At 37.8% G+C, this 27,660-nt stretch overlaps 1 long non-coding RNA gene across 1 annotated transcript in view, besides 1 other annotated feature; it reads left to right on the top strand.

Moving 5' to 3' along the window:
- The window catches only part of LOC105373718 (uncharacterized), a 93,832-nt gene extending 75,707 nt beyond the window's left edge, over positions 1 to 18,125 (top strand). Inside the window, exon 3 of the long non-coding RNA XR_923526.3 lies at positions 17,498 to 18,125. This is a non-coding gene — a long non-coding RNA (uncharacterized LOC105373718). The remainder of the gene's footprint in view (positions 1 to 17,497) is intronic.
- Positions 2,996 to 3,165: an enhancer, noted in NCBI's record as "experimental_54167 CRE fragment used in MPRA reporter constructs". NCBI's record gives its function as "activates a minimal promoter by MPRAs in K562 erythroleukemia cells, with activity observed for both the introgressed and non-introgressed 2:161426247 variant alleles {active_cell/tissue: K562}" and the evidence as "EXISTENCE:reporter gene assay evidence [ECO:0000049][PMID:34662402]".
- Positions 18,126 to 27,660: the final 9,535 nt, after the last annotated feature.

The raw sequence follows: 27,660 nt of genomic DNA, 5'->3' as shown, positions 1-27,660 counted from the left end.
AGGAACAATACTTTGCATACTTCAATTCAATCAAGTTGACACTCAATATTAACCATCACAAGTAGTTTCTAGGTTGTATGGTATTAATAGTTGCATGTTCAGTTTTATAAGAGACTGTATTGCCTCATGGTCCAAGACAGTTCTTTGAGTGAACCATAATTACCTGAATTTCAGATGACAGAAAGAAGTAAAAGGGTAAAATAGTACATCTCCAATTAAGTAACTTCTCTTTATGCAGACTTCCCAGGAGTTTTAGACAACACTTTAACTTATGTCTTAAAGCTAGCACTTAGTTACCTGACAATACCTAGCTGCAAGGGAGTCTGAAAAATATCTCATCTGGGTGCATGGCTGCCCTGAATAAAACCAGGGTCCCATCTATCTGAATAAACTAGATTATGCTGCAGTAACAAAAAACCCTCAAGTCTCAGAGGCTTAACCACAACAAAGTCTTATTTTCCTCTTTTGTTACATGACCATCCTGGATTAGTTAGGGCTTGGCTCTGCGTGTCTTCACTCTGAAACCCAGAACCATGATCAGGAACGTGGCCAAAGAACATGGTAATTCCTACTTTATTCTTTAAAGTTCACAATGTATTAGCCAAAGCAAGTCACCTGGCTACATCTAACTGCAAGGCGTCAGGAAGTATAATTCTACCATTTATCAAAAGGGGGAGAAACAGAAATGTTTAGAGAATATGAGTGATGACTTATCACAGTAAAGGAGGAAAGGGAGAATAGATGTTTCGATAAGAAGCAATCCCTGCCACAATCTCAATTGTCTATGTGTTATTTGTAACCTGCTTTTGCTCTACCTTTTGTGTATCAATGATACTAAGGGTTTAATTGTCATTACCTAAATACACTATGCTACTTCATTACTTAGTATATTTATTAATGGGGTTTGCATTCCCTGAAGTGTCTTTCCCCATTTATCTTCCATGTTCTCAAGACTGGGCTCAGATGTCCTTAAGCCCCATGCCTTGTGCCTGTCTCACAGCACCTTATCTGTGCTTGCCATTTAGGATTATGTACAGCTGTAGTGGTTCCAGATCTTGACCTAGTGTGGCAGCTCTGCTTCCCAAAATCATCAGGGATCCAGTGTCCTTCTACTTTGCACAATGTAACTCTTTGATTGCCATATCATATCCAATTTGGCTGCTTAAATTCCAACCATCATACCTTTAACCCAGCACATAGGAAGGATGAATAGTCAAAGACCAGCACACAACTCCTCCCCTTGAAATACCTTTTTGATTAGTTGCAAATATTTCTACTTACATCCCATTAACCAGAACCTGGTCATACAGCTATACTCTGCTGCAAGGGAGTCTGAGAAAATGTAGCCTTTTTCTGGGAAGGCATATATTCAGGTCAATATTGAGGCTCTATTATAGTACTAATGAAGAAGAGATAATGCTGAGGGATACTGAGGTATAAACAGTCTCTGCTGCAAAGATGAACACGGCAGTCCATTGCTTCATCCTCCCTTTCAGTCTTCACTCAATCAAAACTTGTCTATTGAGTTCCTACTGTCTAGAAGAAAACAAGACAGGCATGTTCCCTGCATTTATGAAACCTCCAATCCTTAAACAAGTAACCACCCAGATGAATACATGATTGCAAATTCTGATTAGCACAATAAAGAAAAATTTCACGGCCAGGCGTGGTGGCTCACGCCTATAATCCCAGCACTTTGGGAGGCCAAGGCGGGTGGATCACCTGAGGTCAGGAGTCTGAGACCAGCATCAACATGGAGAAACCTGGTCTCTACTAAAAATACAAAATTAGCCGGGCATGGTTGTGCATGCCTGTAATCCCAGCTACTCGGTAGACTAAGGCAGGAGAATTGCTTGAACCTGGGAGGCGGAGGTTGCAGTGAGCCAAGATTGCGCCATTGCACTCCAGCCTGGGCAACAGGAGTGAAACTCTGTCTCAAAAAAAAAAAAAAAAAAAATGACAGAGCTAATTCAGACGGAAGGAGGGATCAAGGAGAACCTGTTAAGGGTTGTGGGGGAAGCATGGCTGGGGAGGCTGGCACAAGGATCAATAGTGCAGCAGGGGTGGTGCGGGGACTGTTCCAGGAAGAGGGGGAAATATCTGCAAAGGCCCTGGGGCAAGAAGGAGCTTGGTGTATTTGAAAAACAGAAGGACAGTCATGTGGTTGGACCTAGTGCACAGAAGAAGGGAGGTGTGAGATGCAGCCGGAAATCTAGGCAGAGGCCAGATCCCAGGCTTTGCAGGCCACACTAAGGGACTGGGAGGATTCTAGGAAGAGTGACATGATTACCAAACACTAAGCAAATGAGGAAGTTAGAAACTGGTTTCTTATTTTTCATGTGTTACATTTTTCCATACATCAACCTCCTATTTTTATCATTCTTTGTATAATCATTTTTCTTTGAACATTTTTCCTCCTTCTATTCAGATTCATGCAGTAGTATTTGCATTCTTTTGAATTGGCCTTGTTAAAATTCATCATTGGTTTATTTTTATTCCTTCTTAGGTCCCTGTTTATCATTTGCTATTCTCCAAAAGAGGTAGAAAAACATAGGGGAATTCATTGAGGAAAAAGAAATGGTTATTTAAAATACTGCAATTTAGGACCAATCCCTGGTCTTTCTTCTGAAACTATTATCAGCCCTGTTTTGTGATTTCACAGGGCTGGTGCAAACCATGAACTTCTAGATTCATCATTGGTCTGCACAACCGCAGTGATGAGATGGAAAGAAGGGGCACCACGGAATTCTTCTGGCTGTGACTTTCACGATTTGGCCCTGCTGTGATTCCCACATTCTGATTTGGAGTTGGCCCTTTACTCCTGGCAATAACATAATCCAGCCTGATGTTAGCTGTACCTCACTAGACTTCTTGTCCCCAGGCTTTCTCTACAGACCTACAGAGTGGCCCTGCTGCTGCTCTGGGAAACTCTGCCTCCAGCCTTGACTCTTTCCTTTTTTCCTACATTTTTATATTTTTGATATCTATTTATATCTAGCCATAAGTCTAGGCAATAGAGGAAATTTTTGCTAAGAGAGACTAACGGGGCTCGGGTTTGATTCAGATGGAAGGAAGAACCAGGGAAAGCCTTTTCAGGGTTGCAGAGAGAAGTATGGCTGGATACCCCCTTCAGTGGGGTGGGTAGACATGTATTGGTCACCTACTTGTGTCAGCACTGTGCTAGGTGCTTGGATGCAAGGATACACTGAGAGAATCAGGGAAGGATTCACATAGAGATGCCTGTTCAGCTAAGACTTGAGGCATGAGTAAAGGATAACCAGGGGAATACAACGTGGAGTGCCACAGCAAGGAGCAGCAGCAGGGGCACAAGTGTGTAAACGTGAGAGTACAGTCCGTTGTGACTGTAACACATGGGGGCTCGTGTAGTGGGTGCAGAAGGCACGGCATCAAGATGCAAGACTGGAGAGCAAGCAGCCCTTGATAGAGCGAGGCTTGAATCCTGCTAACAATGGAGGTTGATTGACAAGAGTTTAAGTAGGAGGTTGAGATGAAGAAACCTGGGCCATCAGTATGAACCAGGGAGGAGAGATTTGAGGGAGGTCATCTGGAAGCGAGAAAGTGAGTCTTTGAAGTAGTCTACCTGAAAATTAGTGAAAAACTAACCTTGAGTAATGGTAATAAGATTTGAGTGATTTGACGTACAGGGAGCCAGAATGGACATAGCTTGGGAAATAACTGAATGAGTGGTGTGATTGACAGTCAGGGATCAGAGATGAACCTCCAGTCTAGTGGGTGGCTGGTGCTACTGAGTGACGCACTGAGTTAAGCAATGCAGGGAGAAGAGCAAGTTTGGTAGGAAGGTTGATGAGTTTTCAGACATGTTGAGTTGGCTGATTTGAATGGACAGAAAGCAAGTTGATTTTAGTGCCAATCCATTTATATTTCATTCATTCTTCAGTGGAGGTAAAAACTAAGAGTAAAGGAGATGAACAAAAAAAGAGATGAGTGAAAACGGAACTAGGATATATGAGCAAGCAATCATGCTGCTATAAAATTCATGGCAGGTCATTCATTTCCTAAATATTTATAGAACATGTACAATCCCCAAGGTAGTATTCTATAGAAACTGTAAAGATAACTAAACTATATGTAACAAATACTAACATTCAATTAGTTATCATACAGGGCTACAAGAATGCCAAAAACAAAATGCAAAAGTAAAAAATGTATTTATATTCAGGGAGATCTAGTAGCCATGGCCTTATCTAAATGATCAAATGTATTATCACTGGAAGCTGGACATCCTGATGTGGTATATTTCCTAGTGTGATGCAATATGAAATCAACAGCAGCATCTATTAAGTATTCTTGCCAAAAATATTTATCTTGACTTTAATCAAGCCTGTATAACCTAACTTCTGGGTTATAGAAACTAGAGTTAGGAACAAGTCCCATAGCACCAAGAAGAAAAGTCAGAAAAATTCAGGGATGTTCTAGAAGACCACTGACCTAGTCTCTTTAAGAAGTCAATATCATGGTGGGGCATGGGTCAGGGGGCAGGTGAAGGAATTAGTGAAATTGTTCTAGATTAAGAGACTGAAAAGACTTAACAATCAAATGCAATGAATAAACTTTGGATTTAGTTTGAAACAGTCACTATAAACTGCATTTGGGGAGCAAGTTGAGAAATGTTAATATGGGCTGGAGTGTTATATGTTATTAGGGAGGTATTCTTAATTTTCTTAAGTGATAATGGTATCGAGGTTAATAAAAGAATGTTCTTATTTTTAGGAGAAATGGGAAGAATTTAAAGGCCGTGTTAATCAGAATCAGGAAAACAGAACTCACACACACACACAAAAGGGTGTTCAAAAGATGGGATTCAATACAGGGAACTGGCCTAAAAAGTGTCAGAAGTGAAAGGGCTAATGGGACAAAAAGGCAACCCAGAGATTAGCTAAAGCAGGAAACCACTACCACCCTGGGATTGAAGAGACAATGGAAGGAGGTTGTATTACCAGAGTCCAGGAGCCAAGGCTGTCCAGTGGGAACTAGCCAGGACTCCCCAGTGGAAGCCTGGATTGTGGAAAAAGGGGCTGACAGAAGTAAACGAAGTCATTTCCCAAAACACAGAGAGTGGTAGAAACACCCTGTCTTCTCATCCAATCTCCAGCCCATGCTTTACATTGGCCAAAACCTACAAAACCCAGTTGCAAGGGAGTCTGGGAAATGCAGTTTGCAGTAAATGGCTCCCAGAGGTACCTTCACAGTGTAGGGTGAAGAGCAGGGAATGGATCAAAGGCAAATTACTGGCCCCAGAAAAATTGTCATACTTGCAACCTATTTTCGAATGGTCCAGGGAACAAAATATGTACATACATATACATACAGATAAAAGAACTTTGGTAAAATGTGGAATCTAGGTGGGCATATAGATGTTTGTTATATTTCAGTTTTTCTATATGTTTGAAGTTTTTCACAATAAAAAGTAGGTGAAAAATCCATTCTGATACTCTATGAAAGAGAAGTTAGGAACCTGATACGAGGTCATGGCCATGAAAATAGAGGAAATACTAAAATTGAATTTGACAAAGTTTCTTATTAAATTCTTATAACCAAGATGAAAAAAAAAATGTGAGCCAGGGCAGCATTTATCATTTTTTTCTACCACTACACTTTTGATAGTTGATTTTTTTAATTTCACTCTCCCAGGGACATACCCACTATTATTCCCATGCCAGCTATAACACCTAACCCTGTATACCACATGCAAAAAAGTTTGATAAAATGGAAGTTAATGAGAATGGCTTTAACTTGGTGGTAATCTTTAGTCTGTTCTATTTTTTAAAGAAACTAGTTATGAAATACCTCACAGTCCATTGCAAAACACCAGTGTGTTGTGACATTAAAGTTGAGAAACCTTCAGCTAGAAAAATAGTATAATTATAAAGCCACACACATGGTTTCATACTACCCAACTACTACCCAAAGTAGTTGACTAATGCAAAGATGTCAGCCTGGAGGGAGGCTTCTCATAATGCACCAGAGGGTGTTTTTTAGTTTGGCCCTGTCAGTTTTACACATTTATCAATGTCTTGGATGAGATTTAGAAAACAAGATCATAATTGCTAATAGCATGAAACCTAGAGTGAGAGTGAATGCCAGCTGAGGATCCGTAAAGATTTGGATCAGAGTGATGAACAAATATAAATTGGTTTCTAATAGAAATATGTGACCAGTCTTTCATCTGGATCCAGAAAAACCAACTAAGCATAACATGTCTGGTACATAGAACTAGACAGCTTTAGTTCATTCTCTAGTTCTTCCACTAATGACCTGTATAAACTTCAGCAAGGTAACTTTATCTCTCATTAAGTGCCTCCATTGTCACACTGGTAAACAGAAACAATAGTAATATCTACTCCACAGTAGCTTAAGAGAGTTCATATACATCAAAGCAGTTGAATAGTCCGTGGCCCAGATAACAAGAAATGTTGCTTCTTATTAGTGATGTGTGTAGAAGAGGGCTGATGGCTATAGTATCTACTAGATAGGATAAAAAAGATTGATAATACATTCAATAGATTTCAGTTGTGGGACAGAGTTAGTAGTCTATGACACAAGACTATTTTGCTCAATTTTTTATTGTGGTAAAATGCACATAACAAAATTTACCATCTTAACCACTTTTAAGCATACACTTCAGTAGCACTAAGTACATTCACATTGTGTTACATTACCATCCTCCATCTCTGGAGTTCTCTTCATTTTGAAAAAGTTAAACTCTATATCCATTAAAGAACCCCCATTTCTACTCCCCCTAGCCTCTGATAACCATCATTTTACTTTCTGTACCTCTGATTTTGACTACTCTAAGTATCTCATAGAAATGAAACCATAAAGTATATTTTTTGTGACTGGCTTATTTCACTAAGCATAACGTCCTCAAGATTCATCCATGTTATAGCAAATATTGAGTTTTTTTCCTTTTTAAAGCTGAATGATATTTCAGATATAAATACACATTTTGCTTATCCACTCGTTTATCGAGCACCTGGGCTGGTTCCATATTTTAGCTATTATGAATATAGATGTACAAATATCTTTGAAATCCTGCTTTAATTCTTTTGAGTATATACCCCAAAATAGAAATGCTGAATCATATGGTAATTCTATTTGATTTTTTGAGGAACTACTGTATTGTTTCCACAGTGACTATTCCATTTTGCATTCCCATCAGCAGTGCAAAAGGGTTCCAATTATTCCACATCTTCAACACTTGGTATTTTTCTGGGGGGTTTTCTGATAGTAGCCATACTAATGGGTATGAGATGGTTTCTCATTATAGTTTTGATTTGCATTTCCCCAGTGATTTTGAGCATTTTTTCATGGCTTTTTAGCCATTTGTACATCTTTTTTGGATAAATGTCTTGGCACTTTTTGAATCAGGTTGTTTTGTTGTTGTTGAGACTTTAATAGAATCTCACTGCTGTGAATAAGACTGATGAAAGTCATGATTTACTCTGCCCTGCTCGGGCTACAACTTGAACAAGGGCTTGAGATCAGGTGTCATAGTAGCAAACTCTCATAAACAAATCAGAGTCTGTGCAGTACAGAGCTGAAATGCAGGTACTGTTGATAGAATTGGAGGTGTCAGACTGTCTAAAATTTTACTGAGCTGTGGAATAGAATGTTGATGTTGTTTTGTGTGCCCCCCATTGATTTCTCCAGAGCCAATGAGTAAAAATTACCATGACATAGATGCTGAGTCCACATAATGAAAACCTTCCTTATGATTGGAAGAGCTGTTTTGGGGTATGCTAAGTTCCCCGTCCCTGCCATGATAAGACATTATATGTTAGGGTGACTGCTTGGCAAGGGTGTGATGGGACTTAAACTCCAGATGTGTGATTGGATTAGGTGCCTTTTAAGATTGACTCCCAGAAATTCTGAGTTTTTATCCAATGAAAATCTTAGGATTCTAGATTTGTTTCTAATTACATACTTAACTGCTTCCTACACTGCTGCCTTTAAAGCTCTTATTGGGTGTTTTTAGGCTCTGGGCCAACAAGACTGCACTTTTTTTTTCCTACCACCAAAGAGGTTAAATACTCAGTATGTTCATTTTTTAGGAAATGAAGTTGAAATGATTAAACAGGAAATATGCACTTAGCTCCTAATGTTAGCTACATCAAGACAAAATCAATTTCATTTCAAATGGAATGCTATTGGAGAGCTGTTTAGAAATTTGTTGATAGGAAAGAAATATTGAAGGTGAATACACCAGACACAGGAAATGAGAAAATTAAAGATATCTTTCAATGCTAAAAAGCACTCTGTCTTTCCTGTTCTCAAAACCTTGAAGAAATCTTTAAAACGCTCTACTTATTTGAGACATAAATATCTTAGACTAAAAGTCAACAACACCTGGATCAAGAACCAAAATTTTCTCTACTAGGTTGTCTATGGAAACTCAGAAACCTGAATTCTGAAGATGCCCAAATCACTGACCACACATACCTCCATGAATATATAGAGAGGGGGAAAAGCCAGAAAAATCTTGCTAGTTCTAACACCTTTATGTGAACAAGGTCATTGGTCATACCCCACGTGGCCTCTGTTTTCAATTGGTAAGCATTCTTTTTAAGCCTAAGAAGTAGAATTTACACATTATATGCAGCAGTGCTTCATTTCCTTCTCAACGACTAGCTCTGCTGCTTTGGGAAAGGGAAAATTTCCAACTCTCCCAAGGCAGTTGAGTGGCTTATGCCAAACAGTGTTAAGTTTTTCATCACCTGCAACTAGGTTTGTGAGTCTTATGAAATAACCAAAAAGTATGTTCAGAATCTCTGGCCTCCAGTCAAAGACGAAGATGGAAGCATGAAATTGAGGTTGAATATATTATACCTTTCTCCATCTTAGGTTTTTGTGTTTTACCTATAGGGGAAAAAAATCAAATATGTATTTTAAAGATTTATATTTTACATCAAATACATATTTTAATATATCATTGGGGAGGATTTTGTAATCTTGAAATTTAATCAGACTATTCTTTTCAAATTTTAGAACACAAACTAATTTAACATAGCTTCCAGAAACCAGAAATAAGTAAAAATTTGTCTTGCAGTAGTTGAAAATCTGATGTTCTATCATGAGAATTTAAGAGTCTTTCTTTTCTGGAGTTCATATTTTTCACTTCTATCTAGATCCCAAACTCTTTAGTTCACCAGATCTTGGGCCAGGTGATGCAGATTCCTCATTAGAAAGCATCCTCACTTTTAGGTCTGTAGGCCTTTCTAAAGAATTATGAAATGCTCCCTCTACTATTATATTAAGAACATAAGGCTTTTTCTTTTGTTTTACTAGGAATTCCATCAGCAGTGAGATGGAAACAGTCAAAACCAGGAATACAACAGTATTGATAAAAATAAGACAGTTTACATTATCAAGTAGATCTACATTTTTGGATATTTGTTTTTCTGAATGTAATATACAATCCTAAGAAATAAATATTGGCAATAGTATTGAGAAAAAGAAGCTTTTGTAATTCTGAAATGGCTAACAGCATCAGCCTTTTCATTATTTATTAGTACATCAGTAAGTTTGACAGGAAATTATAGCTAAAGCATGTGGGCAAAGTGTGGGGAGAAAGAAGCAAAAGCTCCAAAAAAGGACATTTTCTTCTCCCCAGAAAACTTTGCCAGTATTATCACTAGTGAAAATTTTGGCTCCTTCTTAACTTACCCCAGATTTCCCTGTCAATAGCACCCAAAAATGGAATTTAAAAAAAATATTTAATAGAGGATGACTTTCAATTCCCAAAGGTGACCACCCCTAGATTGAAAACACGCTCTTCTGGAGAAACTATGAGTCTTTTATTTACCTGAGTCTTATGTGATTTGCAACAGAGTAGACACTTAAATATTTATTGAATAAGTCAGCAAATAAACAAATGAATAAGAGGATAGACAGAAGCAAAATAGAAATACATTATGAGACGATAAGAAGTAACTGAATTTTCAAACTGAAGAATCTTTTAGGATGACTCTAATGATTCATAAAGTCAAAGAGCTATCATAACCCCACATCATTATTTACTACATTTTCTGATTTTCCTTTAAGTATATGCCTAACAAGCAAATACCTGTGCATTTCAAAAAATCCAGATGTATAAATTGCACGACCTTAGACATGAGACTTAAGCTGAGACTCGATTTCTTCATCTGCAACATGGGAATGATAAGTTAAATGATTTAGTGTTAATAAAGCACCTAGAACAGGACTTGACATACAGTAAGCACACAATAATTATCAGTTAAAATTGTGATCTTCATCCTTTACATCTTCTTCAGTGGATTCATTAGATGCAGAGAAAGTAACAACAAATTACTTTTAAAAGATGTTCAAAATCAGATCATTTTATAACAGTTTTAATTCATCTTAAAGTCAAGTGCATAAAAATGGAAAACAGATTCAAAATTTTCCTCTCCTTAAGGGCAGACGCAATGCATCATTTAGCTTTCTATCTCCCAATGAATCTTTCAAACTGTCTTATCGACACACATGTAAAGCAGTCAAGATCTGTTTGTGAAATCTAAGAACTAAATATATAATAGAACAAATTCTCCCATCTTGAGTTGACCTCACCAAAATTTTGTTCATAAGGATTTCTTTTACGTTGCTTTTTTAGCAACTTCAAGAATTTCAGTTCCATATAAGAGAGTGCTGAGTCAGTCCTCTTGGCAGTAATGAGAAGAGGGGAACATGAGAACTGGAAATAGGAGAGGAAGGTAAAGTATGTGGTGGAACTGGAGTAGAGAGTTTTGTAATGAAGATTTTTGCAAAGAAGAAAAGAATGTCGAGAGATAGTAAATCCCAAGCTTAAAGCTACACACTTATGTTTGTAAGGAAGACAGGCATGAGATACTAGTAAAAAGGTAACCAGCAGACTTCACAAGCTTTGGCATAAAGACTCTTGTCAATGCTCATTGAGCCTTTACAATGTACTACATAGATCCGATCATTTAATCCATCCTCACAGCAACGTGTTGGGAGGGCACTATTGGACTGACTCTGTAGACAAAGATACTGAGTCATAGAAAGGTTTAAAATGTGCCCCAGGTCACAGCTAGCAAATGATAAAATCAGGATTTGAACTCAGGCAAGTCTGACTGCAGACTTAAACCTGATGACACATTCCTCATGACTAAATCTATATAATCCTCTGTACTATGGCCAGGTATGAGATATGCTTAGTTGGCTATGCCAACAAGGTTTTAAAAAAAGCTAAACAAAGGTTTTACATCCCAAGAGTTCTAGTTATTCATTATTGGGCCCAGAAAGAAGAAAATCAAAACTGAGTTAAAAATTAGAAAGATAGGCCGGGCGTGGTTGGCTCACGCCTGTAATCCCAGCACTTTGGGAGGCTGAGGTGGGCACATCACTTGAGATCAGGAGTTCGAGGCCAGCCTGGCCAACATGGTGAAAACTCATCTCTACTAAAAATACAAAAATTAGGCAGGCGTGGTGACGCATGTCTGTAACCCCAGCTACTCGGGATGCTGAGGCAAGAAAATTGCTTGAACCTGGGAGGTGGAAGTTGCAGTGAGCCGAGATTGCGCTATTGCACTCCAGCCTGGGCAACAAGAGTGAAACTCCGTCTCAAAAAAAAAAAAAAAAAAATTCAAAAGGAATGAGGTCGATGCAGGGGGTAGGGGGGCTACAGAAGCCTCTTTTGTGAAGGTTGTCTGCAGCAATCCAAAAACATCCTATTGAAACTCTAAAGAAGGAATATTCTAAAGATTTACTTAAAAGATCTTAAAGAGGGCCGGGCGCGGTGGCTCACGCCTGTAATCCCAGCACTTTGGAAGGCTGAGGCGGGCGGATCACGAGGTCAGGAGATCGAGACCATCCTAGCTAACGCGGTGAAACCCCGTCTCTACTAAAACTACAAAAAAATTAGCCTGGTGTGATGGCGGGCGCCTGTAGTCCCAGTTACTTGGGAGGCTGAGAGAGGAGAATTGCTTGAACCCGGGAGGCGGAGGTTGCAGTGAACTGAGATAGCACCACTGCACTCCAGCCTGGGCAACAGAGCAAGACTCCGTCTCAAAAAAGAAAAAAATCTTAAAGAGAATAAATGAAAACCAACTGCATGCCTCTCCGTTCACCCACTGTAGCTGTGGTATTCACCTTGCATGGTCCATACTTCTCTTCTAAAAAGAGCCTCCTGGTTTTCCTTTAAGAATTCATCCTCCCCCGCTCTCAGAGCAAATTCTAGTGAGGCTGACTTCACTTTCAGCCTGAACATTAAAAGTTCTGCATCACTCTGATCAATGTGCATAGAACTCTGATGATCAGCCATGAGATTTTCAATGGAATTAACAAAGAGAAGGATTTTTCCCAGGAAATGTCATACCGGTGTGCTCTAGTCCTAGACTTAGTGATGGTCATCTTTTTGCACTACTGGGTGAAACCTGTCTCAAATGTGGACAATATAGGGCATATGGGAGAGACACAAATTCCTGGGGGTCTCCAAGTGCACCGGTATCCTGCCGAGACTACCAACTTGCCTTTCCGGTTATATGGGCCAAGGGGAAAAGATGTTTTTAAGTTAGTTTGATTGGGCTTTCTGCCACTTACAACAGACAATCTGGAATAATACACTAATATAAGGCATGCAAAAGGCCCAATGATAGTCCGTTTAGACAGATATCTTTAATATTTTAATTTTGTGTTCACACAAATAAATATATAAAAGAATAGCTTTTCTTAGGATTTTAATCCATCAACCTCTCTATTCCCGTAAATTCTAAAATTTCTTGCCTGTGAATTCTCCTTCCATGGCGGGGTTTTTTTTTTTTTTTTTTTTTTGGGAGACGGAGTCTAGCTCTGTCACCCAGACTGGAGTGCCATGGCGTGATCTCAGCTCACTGCAACTTCTGCCTCCCGGGTTCAAGCGATTCTCCTGTCTCAGCCTCCCGAGTAGCAGGGACTACAGGCATACGCCACCATGCCCGGCTAATTTTTGTATTTTTAGTAGAGACAGGATTCCACCATGTTGGTCAGGCTGGTCTCGAACTCCTGACCTCAAATGATCCACCTGCCTCGGCCTCCCAAAGCGTCCATGGTGTTTTTAGGAACCTAAGCCTCACATATCAGGACTATCACATAGTATCTTAAATATTTACTCATATAGATGTTTTATTAAGATGCTATTAATAAGTGCAACAGGCCAAAGACTTTATTATGAACTTAATATCGTAGACTGCCTTAAGCACCACATTAGATTATTTAGTAAATTTCTTCTTAAAAAATTAACATATCTGGTTGGGTGCAGTGGCTCATACCTGTAATCCCAAATCTTTGGGAAGCCAAGGCAGGAGAATCACCCAAGACCTGGTGTTTGAGACCAGCCTGGTCAACATAATGAGATCCCATCTCTACAGAAAATATTTTAAAAATTAGCCCAGCATGGTATTTGCCTGTAGTCTCAGTACTTGGGAGCCTCAGGTGGGAGGATCCCTTGAACTCAGGGGCTCCAGGATGCAGGGAGCTATGATCATGCCACTGCACTCCAGCCTGGGGGACAGAGTGAGAACCTGTCTCTTAATAAAAGTTAATGTATCTAATAGAAATCTGAAATTAATGAATATAGGTAGAACAGTGGCCCTCCAATTTCAAGGTGCATAAGAATCCCCTTGAAAGGTGGGAAGATTAATGAGTTGAAGATTCCTGGACCCTACCCTCAGAAATACCAATTTGGAAGTTTCGGCATGAAACCCAGGAGTCGAAGTTTTCCCTAAGCTCTGGAGACAATTCTGATATAAGTAGTCTCAGGCCAGCCTTGAGGAAATCTTGATGTTCTCATTGACCGTCAGCTTGATTTTGTAAATTGTGGATCTGTGTCTCCAGAGGCAGTCAAGGATTCCTAAAGATCAACCTGAAAATCCTGCGCAGTTAACTTCAATAAAATGTGGTCAGGATTAAATGAGATAATGCATTCAAAGGGCTTTGTACAGTTTTAACGTGCTGAAAACAATTTTTTAAATTTTTTAGGTTTGGGGGTACATGTGAAGGTTTGTTACATAAACACATGTCATGGGGGTTTGTGGTACATGTTATTACGTCACCCAGGATGAAAATCATTACCCAATAGTTATATTTTCCGCTGCTCTCCCTCCTCTTGCCCTCCCACGTTAAGTAGACCCCAGTGTCTGTTGTTTCCATCTTTTTGTTCATAAGTTCTCTTCATCAAGCTCTCACTTACAAGTGAGAACATACTGTATTTGGTTTTCTGTTCATTAGTTTGCTAAGGTTGACAGCCTTCAGCTCCATCCATGTTCCCACAAAAGACCTGATCTTGTTCTCTTTTTGGCTACATAGTATTCCATGGTGTACATGTACCACGTTTCCTTTATCTAGTCTGTAATTGACGGGCATTTAGGGTGATCCCATGTCTTTGTGAACAGTGCTGCAATGAACATTCACGTACATACGTCTTTATGGTAGAATGCTTTATATTCCTCTGGGTATATACCCAGTAATGGAATTGCTGGGTCTAATGGTAGTTCTGCCTTTAGCTCTTTGAGGAATTGCCATACTGCTTTCCACAATGGTTAAACTAATCTATACCCCCACCAACAGTGTATAAGGGTTCCCTTTTCTCTGCAACCTCACCAGCATCTGTTATCTTTTGACAGTTTAATCATAGCCATTCTGACTGGTGTGAGATGGCGTATCGCTGTGGTTTTGATTTGCATTTCTCTAAAGATCAGTGATACTGAGTTTTTCATATGCTTGTTGGCCACACGTGTGTCTTCTTTTGAGATGTGTCTGTTCATGTCCTTTGCCCACATTTTAATGGGGCTGTTTTTCTCTTGTAAATTTGTTTAAGTTCCTTATAGATGCTGGGTATTTGACCTTTGTCAGATACATAGTTTGCAAATATTTTCTCCCAATCTGTAAGTTGTCTGTTTACTCTGATGAGAGTTTATTTTGCTGTGCAAAAACTCTTAAGTGTCATTACATCCCATTTGTCAATTTTTGCTTTTGTTGTGATTTGTCAAGAGATCTTTGACTCTTCCTATGTCCAGGATGGTGTTGCATAGGTTGTCTTCCAGCATTTTTATAGTTTTGGGTTTTACATTTATGTCATTAATTTTGATTTTTGTATATGGCGTAAGGAGGGGGTCCAGCTTCAATCTTCTGCATATGGTAACAGAGTTATCCCAGCACCATTTATTGAATAGGGAGTCTTTTCCCCATTGCTTGTTTTTGTCAGCTTTGTCAAAGATCAGATGGTCATAGATGTGCAGCCTTATTTCTGGGCTCTCTGTTCTGTTCCATTGGTCTATGTGTCTGTTTTTGTACCAGCACCATGCTGTTTTGTTCACTGTAGCCTTGTTGTATAGTTTCAAGTCAGGTAATGTGATTCCTCCAGCTTTGTTCTTTTTGCTTAGGAATGCCTTGGCTACTCAGGCTCTTTTTTGGTTCCATATAAATTTTAAAATAACTTTTTCTAGTTCTGTGAAAAATGTCCTTGGTAGTTTGATAGAAATAGCATTGAATCTGTAAATTGCTTTGGGCAGGATAGCCATTTTAATGATATTGATTCTTCTTACCAATGAGCATGAGATGTTTTTCCATTTGTTTAGCATGCTATTATAATAGAACTGAAAGACAACAGACTTAAGCATCCTAGTATATCTTTGGAGTCCAGCTCTTATCTCTCTCTGAAAGTATTAAGACTCAAGAAAACTAAATACTATGCTGGTATTTTAAACTTTTCTTTCTCAATGCCAAACCTCTGGGCCTCTCTGGATTTGGGGAAAATATATATCACATTTGTGTGTGCTTCTCTGATCAAATAACTTATAAGGCTGTAAATTTCAGCATACTCAGTAAGAGAAGGTTCTGCAGCAAGTCCAGTCTACAGTGCAAGCTGCTCTGCCTCTTCAATTTTATGGCTCAATAGATCCAATGGTTCTTGAAGTAGACTGACTTCACCCAAGACTGTTACAACAAGAACCCCAGATGCGAAAAACCTTTGCTTACTCTCACTTCTTTGTATATATTGGGAGTTTTACTTCTTGGTTATTTCCTTCCCTCTTTGCTGGTTTAAGGTTCTTAATTGTTCATAAGCACTCCTAGCCTTCAATCACAGTACTCTTAAGATCCTTATCCCTGACAGTAACTAGATATGGGACTAATTATTCAGATACTGTCGGAGTAATCCATATCCAAATTAATGGGAAAAGCCACTTGATTGAGGAAGATCCAAATAGATTATGAGACATGTCTTCATGGCCCAGATTTGGAAGTTTACCTAGTATTTTGAAGTACCTTGCAAAGTTTAATAATCCTTATCTTAGTATTTGTCTGGGTTGCCGAAGCCAACTGTGTGATCTCCAGAGTCTTGTTACTACACAGCTGCTGTCATGCCACATAATTCAACAAGTGATCATCCAACAAAGAGAACAAGAAGTCCTGATGATTAAAGAGATAAAAACAACTACCATTGAAAACTCAATACCCAGTTATGACCCCTCAAAGAGTGGTATAGATCTGGATTGATCACATCCTGAATGGTCCATCAGAAAGGGATTCTGATTAAGTAGAAAAATATACCCTGTTGGTTGCTGTGAAGGGGTATCTGAGAATTGAGGCAAAGACCACAATTTGTAAAACTGTACTAGGACTCACAAAACAGATTAACTGTCCTAAACTGTGACATGCAAGACAAGCAATATAAATTCATACTCTTAACACAGCTCATTTAGACTCATGTGTTCCAAGGACAGACCGCTGACCAACTGATCAAATGGCAACTCTGCCTCAACTCATATGTTAGAGACAAGGCCAATGACTGTGCCAGCAACTTGTCTGGTCTATAGATTCTGACTAATCCCTGACAAGACCATTTGATATGATTTGGCTGTGTCCCCACCCACATCTCATCTTGAATTTTAGCTCCCATAATTCCCACATGTTGTGAGAGGAACTGGGTGGGAAGTAATTGACCATGGAGGCCGGTCTTTCCCGTGCTGTTCTAGTGAAAGTGAATAAGTCTTATGAGATCTGATGATTATATAAAGGGGAGTTTCCCTACACAAGCTCTTTTGCCTGCCATCATGTAAGACATGACTTTGCTCATTTACCTTCAGCAATGATCACGAGGCCTCCCCAGCCATGTGGAACTGTGAGTCAATTAAGCCTCCTTCCTTTATAAATTACCCAGTCTCAGGTGTGTCTTATTAGCAGTATAAGAACGGACTGATACATCATCCTGTGACTAACTCCAGCTCCCTAAACCCCATAAATGCCTTCTCTAATTCACCCATTGTGAGACATCCCTTGGTTCCCCAATATGTGCATTCTCTCTTGCTGCAACAACCTAATAAACCTAATTTTGTGTTTCTGATGCAATGTAATGCTCGGAAATGACTAGTCTGATAGAACAGTGAATGACTTACTGAAGATTCTGTTACAATACCAGTTATGAGACAATATCATGAAATGTTTGGTTTCTCCCTTACAGGCTACCATAAGCCATGAATCAATGACCAGTATGGTGTCATTTCTCACAAGCCAGAATAGATGGGTCCAGAAATCATCAAAGGGTAAGAAGTAGAATTAACTTCTTTCAATATCATACCCACTCAGATTATTTGATGCCTGTTCCCCCCAGTTTTGAACTTTGCAGGTTTGGAGGTTTTAGAGGAATACTTCCACCCAAAAGACACAGCAATGATGCCACTGAATTGGAAGTTGGAAATGTTACCTGGTCATTTTGAGCTCCTTGTGCCACCATATCAGAAGCCAAAGAAAGGGGCCACACTATTGACTGGAGCAATTGATCCTGAGTACCAACACAAAGTTGTGGCTATAAAATGAAAGCAGAAAGGAAAATATACATGGAACCCAGAGTATTCTTTCAGGTGCCTCTTAGTACTTCCATTACAATAGCAAAAGTTATTGGAAAAGTATAACAAGTGAAGGAAGGCATGACCACAAAAAATACACTTTAATAATGAAAATTTGCATCACCCCACCAGGTAAAGGGTTTAGACCAGTTGAAATGCTGGCTGGGGGCAATGAAAACACAAGATGTTTAATAGAAGAAAGAAGTTATAAATATCACTACAGCCTTATAAAACTAGGACTACAACAACAATGCATATTTTCTTCCTTGTTATATAAATACAATATGATATACTGCCTGATGTTATGTTATTATATAGGTTATATTTTTATCTTCTATGATATGTATTATAGGCAATATAGTGTTTTATATTATAAATTATATAATTATGTTATGTTAATATAAATATATATTTTATATTTATTTATGTGTATATAAAAATATATATACTTTATATTTATGTAATATAAATATATATTTATATACTTATATTTATATTAATATAAATATATATTTGCATATATTAACAAAATTTATATATGTAATATATATAAACAAATTTTTTTCTTTCCCTCTCTTTTTCCCTAATTATTGTGAAAAAAATATTGGTAGTGATTAAATTTATAATTTAGTCATTAAATTATAAAATATTTGTAAAGGAATGGAAATGAATTTAAGGAGTAACTAATATCACCAAGAGGTACATACCATGATTGTCACCCATATTAAATATTAAATGTTAAGATATGATTTAATTTGACTATACTGAATTTTTATGTCCCCTTTTGTAGAGAGAATGAAAACACCTTTTATATGAGGGATACTTGGATATATTTGTTATTGCTGCTGTCAGAAAATTCACATGTTTAGACAGATGTATATGGATACTGAATAGCCTAAAATCTGGACTGTGCCCTTTTTTTTCTTTTGAGACCAAGTCTGACTCTGTCACCCAGGCTGGAGTACAGTGGCGTGATCTCAGCTCACCGCAACCCCTGCCTCCCAGGTTCAAGTGATTTTCGTGCCTCAGCCTCCCAAGTAGCTGGAATTACAGGTGCCTGCCACCACACCCAGCTGATTTTTGTATTTTTTAGTAGAGACAGGCTTTACTGTGTTGGCCAGGCTGGTCTCGAACTCCTGACCATAAGTGATCTGCCAGCCTCGGCCTCCCAAAGTGCTAGGATTACAGGCATGAGCAACTGCACCCGGCCTGGTCTGTGCCCATTTTTTTAGCTATTGCCTCTCAGCTCTACACCCATCCTTCTATACTCTGCCTTGGAATCCTGGCACTAAAAATCTGTCAACTATTCCTCCTTTGGCAACCAGCTCTTTGATAGCCTGTGTTAATGGAGGGCACTAGAGCAAGACTGGCAGGCTAGAGGAGGAAGAAGGACTGTTTTCTTCCTGTCGGCAGGGCCCCAGAAACCTCATTGTACCACCTCAGACATACCAGCTCCAGCCAGGCAGAGCCACCTGCTCGGAAGCTCAATCCCAGCCCTTCAGAGTCTCCATTTTGCTGGGTTCTAATAATTCCAAACTCTTCCCTTTGTTCTTCCAGCCCCGGAGTGGTAGCTCTTCTTGCCATTACTACTTCTATAAAAGTGCAATGTCCTTTGCCTTTTTATTCTCAAGAAAACATTTAGCCAAGGTCTTAAATTATCTTTTTAAATAACTAGAATTATTTATGACTGGACAGTAGTGGACACAAATACAAACAGCACTGTTGGCTTAAGATAGTATTTAGAGAACAGGGTTCGCCTATGTAATTACAGTACTAGTAACATTCTACTCTCATGATACAGATCAACAATCCCTGAATTCAAAGTTTTCAGGGCCAGAAATGTTTCAGAACTCTTCAGATTTTAGAAAGGCAATAGAGCATGTATGCATATTAAATTATGTAATAGTTCCAATGGGATGTGGGTCAGTAGCTCATAATTAGACACTTACGGGGATAAATATTCCCTCAAATCAGTTCAGGCCAGGTTTTGCCACCAAATGAGTTACCAAAAAACAAAACTCTTTAATTTTGAAATTGTGGGTAAAACATCTTGAACCTGTATTAGGAAAAGCTACCAAATGACTAATTAAAGGACTTGGTTAAAAAAAAAAATCTAAGATTGAATTAAAGTGTTTTCAAGAAAACACTGAGCAAATCTGGGCAGGGAAGCAATGTCTAACTTAAACATAAGGGGAATGACAACAGAAACAAAGCTTTTGCAGACTACTCTGGCAGTCTTCAGGAAAAACTGCCCCCATTTACCTGAGATTCAGTGAATTGGTTCTGTGATGGTAAATAGAAAAATCTAACAGCAAACCATAAAGAGTCCTTGTTGAGACTAGGTTAATGAAGTTACATGCAAAATTCAGATAGTGCAACTCTATCAAGGGAATCATGACATTACACAAGGAGCATGTCCCAACACGCCAATTTGTTGTTTTTTGATGTGTTACAAAATTAAACGACATAAAAAAGATGTTTATATATATTTTTGGTGATTTAAATATATCAAGCTAGCTGCCAGAACTCGAAAGAGAAACTGGTGAAAGATAATTGCTCTTGAGAAGCGGGACTGAAGAAACGGAAAACAGGGGAAGGGCAGAGAGCTGTTTAGGCTTTTCTGTCTTAGTTGCCCCTTAGTATTCATGGAGAACTGGTTCCAGGACCCTCCTTGGCTACCAAAATCCATAGACACTTAAGTCCATGATATCAAATGGCATAGTATTTGCCCATAACCTATGCACATCCTCGTGTATACTCTAAATCATCTCTAAATAAATCTCTAGATAACTTACAATACTTAGTAAAATGTAAATGCTATGTAAATAGTGGTATACTGTATGTTGAGAGAATAATGCCAAGAAAAAACTCTGTACATGTTTAGTACAGATGCAACCATGTTTTTTTCCTAATATTTTTCACCCATGGTTGGTTGACTCCACATAACATGCAGAATCCACCAATACAGAGGACTGACTGTATTTGATTTGTAACTAGATGAATGTATTTTTTTTAATAAAAGAGTTTCAGTTACTGTTTTAAAATGTAGAGACTTAGAATGAAACATGTCTCTGAGTTGTAAAGAACAAGTGATTAATTTACAGAAAATAAATGCTGGTTTTATACTTTCTGAATAGCAATTTAAAATCTGATTTAATAAAATTGGTTTGAGTCAAATTGACTCAACTTCTAGTTCCACTTGACTTAGTAAAGATCTACTCCCCTCCCTGAAACCAACCTAAACAATAAGCAGAATGATAAAAACAGACAAAAACTTCATCTGCAATGAAACTGGAAAATAATCCCAATCCCAAACCCAAACCAAAAACTATGAAAAACGGCTACCAAAGACAGAAGATTCTGAACCGAATTGAAAGAGGTTGGGAGGAGAGACACCACATGACAGATTGTATGCAGTACAACAAGTTCCCCAAAATCAGCATATGGTTCTGAAGAGCTCAATCAGTGATCCTTCAGTTGCAACAGCAAATTCATAGAGTTTGCTCAGAAATATTCAGGAAGCTTGCTTCAACCTGCTAGCCACAGGGGATGTGGTGCTGGATGAGAAACGACACGGCATGACATTTGTACAAGAAGTCTGCCAGTGTGATTTCATGGAAAAGAGATAAAAAGAAGCAATCAGATTTTATAGCAGGTGATCACAGATGGCTTTATTTTTAGAAACATCTAGTGTTTGCTCTTTGCCAGGACTATTCAAAATTCTTTACACATTTTAACTCACTTGATCCTAATATCCTTAGGAGGTAGGTACTATTATTGTCACCATCCCCATGTTGCTGGTGAGGAAACTGAGGCATTGAGGGGTTAAGTGACTTGCCCAAGGCCACAGCTTGTGAATGACAGAACCTAAATTCATACCTAAACAAAGTGCCTACAAAGTTTGTGTTCATAACCACTAAGTTATAGTGCCTCTTCAAAGAGAAATATGAATGAATTTTTAAAAAACAAAGGAAGAAATAAAGAAAGGAAACATCACATGCAAAAACCATTATTAAAATGCAAGCCATTTGCTCACCCAAGGAGGGTACAAGAGAACACTGAAAACATGGGGAAGAGACATTCTGAGACTTTCAGAGTTTCCATAAACTCTAAGATTTCTCAAACTACTGTTATTTCAACTTAATCCTCTGAGTTGAAACTGTCTGATACCTCAGCTCACCCTCTAGGTTGCTTTCCTCCAAATTCTTGAGGTCATAGCTAGTTATGAGCAGATCGTTTTCATTCAAAGATGAACGGTAATAAGAAATGGAATTCTGCAGCCAATGAAAAGGAAAAAAGCAAACAAAGAAAAGCAATTACACTATGGAAAGACATGCAAAGTGAGCAGATGAAAAAGAAAACAGTAAATAAACAGGAAAAAGGAGACTTAACAGTGCTTACAGAGTCAAGAATATGGAGGAAATGGAAATCTAAATCACACATGCATGCGTGCACACACACACACACACACATACACTACATGTCCTATATGGTACAAGACTTCACTGTAAGCTGGGGAGAAATCACACCATCCCAGAGACAGTCCAAGTTCATAAGCCAGTGTGCTAAGGAGAGAGGATCGGAAGACTAAGATTTCTCAAACTACTGCTACCTTAGCTCAGTCCCCTGGCTCTTCCCCCACATTTAGCTTGAAATAGCCAGTCCAGGAAGAATTTCCCTCATTTAGAAATCAGTAGTTTTCACAAACAGGATCAGCTTAGAATCTACACAATACTTCAAGAAAAAGAGCTGACAGAAAACAAATGAGGAACACATGCATACACATGCACAATGTTTTTTCTTTACCATGAAACAAGAAGTTCTTTATTAAATAAGATAACTTAAAACAAGACTCTTTATACAACAGAAAGTCGAAGTGTTTCTTCTATCTATGTTTTGTACCTATTAACCATCCTTCCTTATACCCCCCCCACTCACTCCCCTTCTCAGCCTCCAGTAGGGTGACTATAGTGAACAATAATTTATTGTATACTTAAAAATAACTAAGAGAATTGAATTAGGATGTTACTAACAGAAATAATAAATGCTTGAGGCTATGAATAGCCCAATTATCCTGATATCATTACACATTGTATGCTTCTATCAAAATATCACATGTACCCCATAAATATGTACAACTATTATGCACTTATAATTTAAAATTTTTAAAAGAAAATAAAGTCAAGGTTCATAGCTAATATTTACTGTGCGATAATTAAATCCTAGGCACTATTCTAAGTTAACTATTTAAACTTAAATGATCAAAAAGATAATCTTGTGAGAACCCAGGCCTAAGAATAAGAATGTCAACTAAAGGATTAAAAAATAAGCTAGCTTTGGATTTCTCCACAGCAGTACTCAACTCTAGAAAATAATGGAGAAATGCATACAAGATTATAGGGAAAAATCCAGCTAAACATTCAAATATAAGAATCGCTATTTTTAAACATGCAAAAATTTAGGAATATAGTTTACCCACATCCTCTGAAATAACTTTGAAGAAGAACTTCACTGGCCAAGAGAAGAGTGGAGAAAATGTGGCTAAAGTACTGGCAATGATCTTTAAATTGACTCAAATGTAGAATTAAGATTAAACAAGAATGAAGTTACAAAATAAAATGTAAACATTATAAACCAAAGCAATATAAAAATGTTACTTAAAAAAATCTAGAAGTTGATGGGTAGAGATGGGATCATGTTTCATAAAAAAGGACATGGTCAATTAATATTATTTTAAAATCAATTAAGTCAATAGCTAGAAGAATTTGGATACTTCTACCATTATAAAAAGAGAGTACGTGGTGATGGATATCTCAAGTACACTGATTTGATCTTTACAAATTATAAAATGTATTAAGTTATCACATGTACCCAGAAACTTGTTTAATTAAAAAAAAAAAAAAATATATATATATATATATATATATATATATCTCAGTGAAGTCTACAAGTATCATACTTAGTGATGAAAGTCTGAATGTTTTTCCCAAAGATCAGGAATGAATCAAGGAAGTCCATTTTCATCACTACTGCAGAATATGGTGTTGAGGATTCTAGCCAGAGCAATAAAGCAGGGGGAAGAAATATAAAGCATACAGATTGGAAAGGAAGAAACAAATGTTTTTACTTCAAGTCTATATAATCTTCCATAATCAGCAAAAAGCTAAAAACTATAAAATCTTGATGAAATAAATCAAAGAGCAGAAAAATGGTAAGATATACCATGTTCATGAATCAGAAGATGTCAATTCTGCCAAAATTCCTCTGTAGATTCAATGTAATTCCCAATGAAAATTCCGGAAGTTATTTTTATAAAAATTGACAAGTTGAGTCTAAAATTTATAGGAAAAATCAAGTCCCAGAATTGCCAAAATGATTTTGAAAAAGAAAAACAAAGTTGAGGGACTTACACTATCTGATTTCAAGATTTATAAAGCTATCATAATGCAGGAAGTGTGGTCTTGGCAAAAAGATACAAAAAGATACAAAACAGAAGCCCAGAAATAGACTCATGTATTGGTCTATTTGGTATTGATAAAGTACATAGGTAATTCAATAAAGAAAGGATGGTCTTTTCCATAAATGGGACTGTAACAATTAGGCATTTATATGTTAAAAAAAAAATTGATCCTTGACTCAAACCTCCAATTATGTATTTTTAAAAAATCAAAATGAGACTGAGTACAGTGGCTTATGCCTGTAATTCCAGCACTTTGGGAGGCTGAGGTGGGAGGTTCATTTGAGCACAGGAGTTTGAGACCAACCTGGGCAATATAGTGAGACCCTCATCTCCGAAAAGAATTTTTAAAAAGCCAGGCATAGTTGCTTGCTCCTGTAGTCCCAGCTACTCAGGAAGCTAAGGCAGGAAAATTGCTTGAACCCAGGAGTTTGAGGCTGCAGTGAGCTAATGATCACACTACTGCACTCCAGCCTGAGCAAGAGTGAGACCCTGTCTCTAAATAGAAAAATTTTTAATTAAAAAACAAAAAGTAAAAAAATATATATTCAAAATGAATCATAGACCCAAATGTAAAACTTGAAACTATAAAACTTCTAGAAGAAAGACAAAATCTTCAGAACATTAGGCCAACAAGTATTTCTTAGCACTCAAAGGCACAAACCATAAAAGAAAAAAGATTGATGTGGCCGGGCATGGTGGCTCACGCCTGTAATCCCAGCACTTTGGGAGGCCGAGGCAGGCAGATTATGAGGTCAGCAGATCGAGAACATCCTGGCTAACACGGTGAAACCCCACCTCTACTAAAAATACAAAAAATTAGCTGGGTGTGGTGGCGGGTGCCTATAGTCCCAGCTACTCAGGAGACTGAGGCAGGAGAATGGCGTGAACCCAAGAGGCAGAGCTTGCAGTGAGCAGAGATCGCGCCACTGCACTCCAGCCTGGGTGACAGAACGAGACTCCGTATCAAAAAAAAAAAAAAAAAAAATTAGCTTGAAATGAATCTTTGATCTAAATAAAATTTTTGTAACACTGAGCTAGCAAAATTTCTTAAGACACAAAAGTACAAACAACAAAATTTAAAAATGATAAATTAAACTGTTACTCAGAAAATATATAGCACTCTCAAAATGCAGTAAGAAAACAGCCCAATTAAAAAAAAATAAGTAGGAAGTTTGAACAGATACTTTGCCAAATAAAAGGTTCAAATGGCAAACAAACATAATAATATGTTAATTATTATTATTAGGGAAATTGAAATTAGAGCCTCAATAATAAACTATAATGTACCAATTAGAGTGGCTAAAATGTTAAAAGTTGATAATACCGAGTGTTGACAATAAAGCAAAGCAACTGCATCTTTTATATTATTTCTGTTGAAAATGTATATGTATTATAGCTGCTTTGAAAAAGAGTTTGACAGTTTCCTATGAGGTTAAACATACAATAAGCAATCCACTACTAGATATTTATCAAAAAAAAATGAAAACATATCCACCCGAACATCTGTATTAAAGTGTTCAAAGGAGCTTTATTCATAAGCCCTACAAACTAGAAATAATTCAGATGTCTATTGACCTGGGAATAAACAAATTGTGATATATTCATAAAATGAAATCTACATTCAGAACAGAAAAAAACTACCAAAACTTGGAACAGTGTTGATAAATCATAAAACCATTATGCTAAATGAAAGAAAGCACACAATAAAGACTATAGTATGTAGTCTTTACTCCATTTATAATGACTTTTTTTTTAAAGAATGGCAATTAGGATCAGTGGTTGTCAGAGGCTGAGGGTGGAGTAGGAGATTATTACAAAGGCCTACAGAAAGCATTTTAGCAGTCATGGAATTATTCTACTATGTATTGATTGTGGTAGTGTTGATACTACTGTATACCCTTGTCAAAACTCATAGAACGGTATACCCAAAAAAGATAAATTTTGCTGTATGTAAATTAAGCCTCAGTACATCTGACTCTTAAAAAGAAATCAAATTCAAGAGAAGGAAAAGACAAGCCACACACTAGGAGAAAATATTTGCAAAAGATGTATCTGGCAAAGACTGTTATCTAAAACATAAAAAGATCTGTTAAAACTCAATAAAAAGAAAACAAACACCTCATTTAAAAATAGGCCGAAGACCTTAACACACACCTCATCAGTGGAGGTTTACAGATGGCAAATAAGCTTATGAAAAGATCCTCCACATCATGTGTCATCAGGGAAATGCAAATTTAAACAACAATGAGGGCCTGGCACAGTGGCTCAGGCCTATAATCCCATCACTCTGGGAGGCTGAGGCAGGCAGAATATCTGAGGTCAGGAGTTCAAGACCAGCCTGGCCAACATGGAAAAACCCTGTCTCTACTGAAAATACAAAAAAAAAAAAAAATTAGCTGGGCTTGGTGGCGCACACTTATAATCCCAGCTACTGGGGAAGCTGAGGCAGGAGAATCACTCGAACCCGGGAGGCAGAGGTTGCGGTGAACCGAGATCACACCACTCCACTCCAGCCTGGGCGACAGAGCAAGACTGTCTCAAACAAACAAACGAGGTACCTCTATACATCTATTAGAACTGCCAAAATCCGGAACACTGACAATCCCGAACACTGGTGAAGATGTGAAGCAACAAGTTGCGGGATCTGGAACTCTCATTGCTGGTAAAAATACAAAATGGTACAGCCACTTTGGAAGTCAGTTTAGTGGTTCCTTACAAAACTAAACATACTTTTGCCATATGATCTCGTAGTTGCACTCCTTGGTATTTAACCAAAAGATCTGAAAACTTCCTTCCATACAAAAAACTGCATATGAATGCTTATTAGCAGCTTTATTGATAACTGCAAAAACTTGGAAGCAATCAAGATGTCCTTCAGTAGGTGAATTAATAAACTATAGTACATTCAGACAATGAAATATTATTCAGTGCTTAAAAGAAATAAGCTATTAAGCCATGAAAAGACATGGAGAAAACATTAAACTACATAATACTAAGTGAAAGAAGCCAATCTGAAAAGGCTACATACTGTTATGATTCCAATTATATGACATTCTGGAAAAGGCAAAACTATGGAAAGAATAAAAAGATCAGTGGTTGCGAGGGGTTAAGAGATAAAGAAGGACTAAACAGCAAGAGCACAGAGGATGTTTAGGGCAGAAAAAATACTTTGTATGATACTATAATGGTGATATATGTCATTATAATTTTGTCCAAACCTATAGAACATGTAATACCAAAAGTGAACCGTAATGTAAACTATGGACTTTGGCTGTAATGAAGTGTCAATGTGGGCCCATCAATTGTAACAAATGTACC

This window comes from Homo sapiens, chromosome 2 (assembly GCF_000001405.40).
Source record: "Homo sapiens chromosome 2, GRCh38.p14 Primary Assembly".
NCBI lineage: Eukaryota > Metazoa > Chordata > Mammalia > Primates > Hominidae > Homo > Homo sapiens.
The sequence above is the reverse complement of the archived record's forward strand: the minus strand, read 5'-3'. Positions and strand labels throughout refer to the sequence as shown.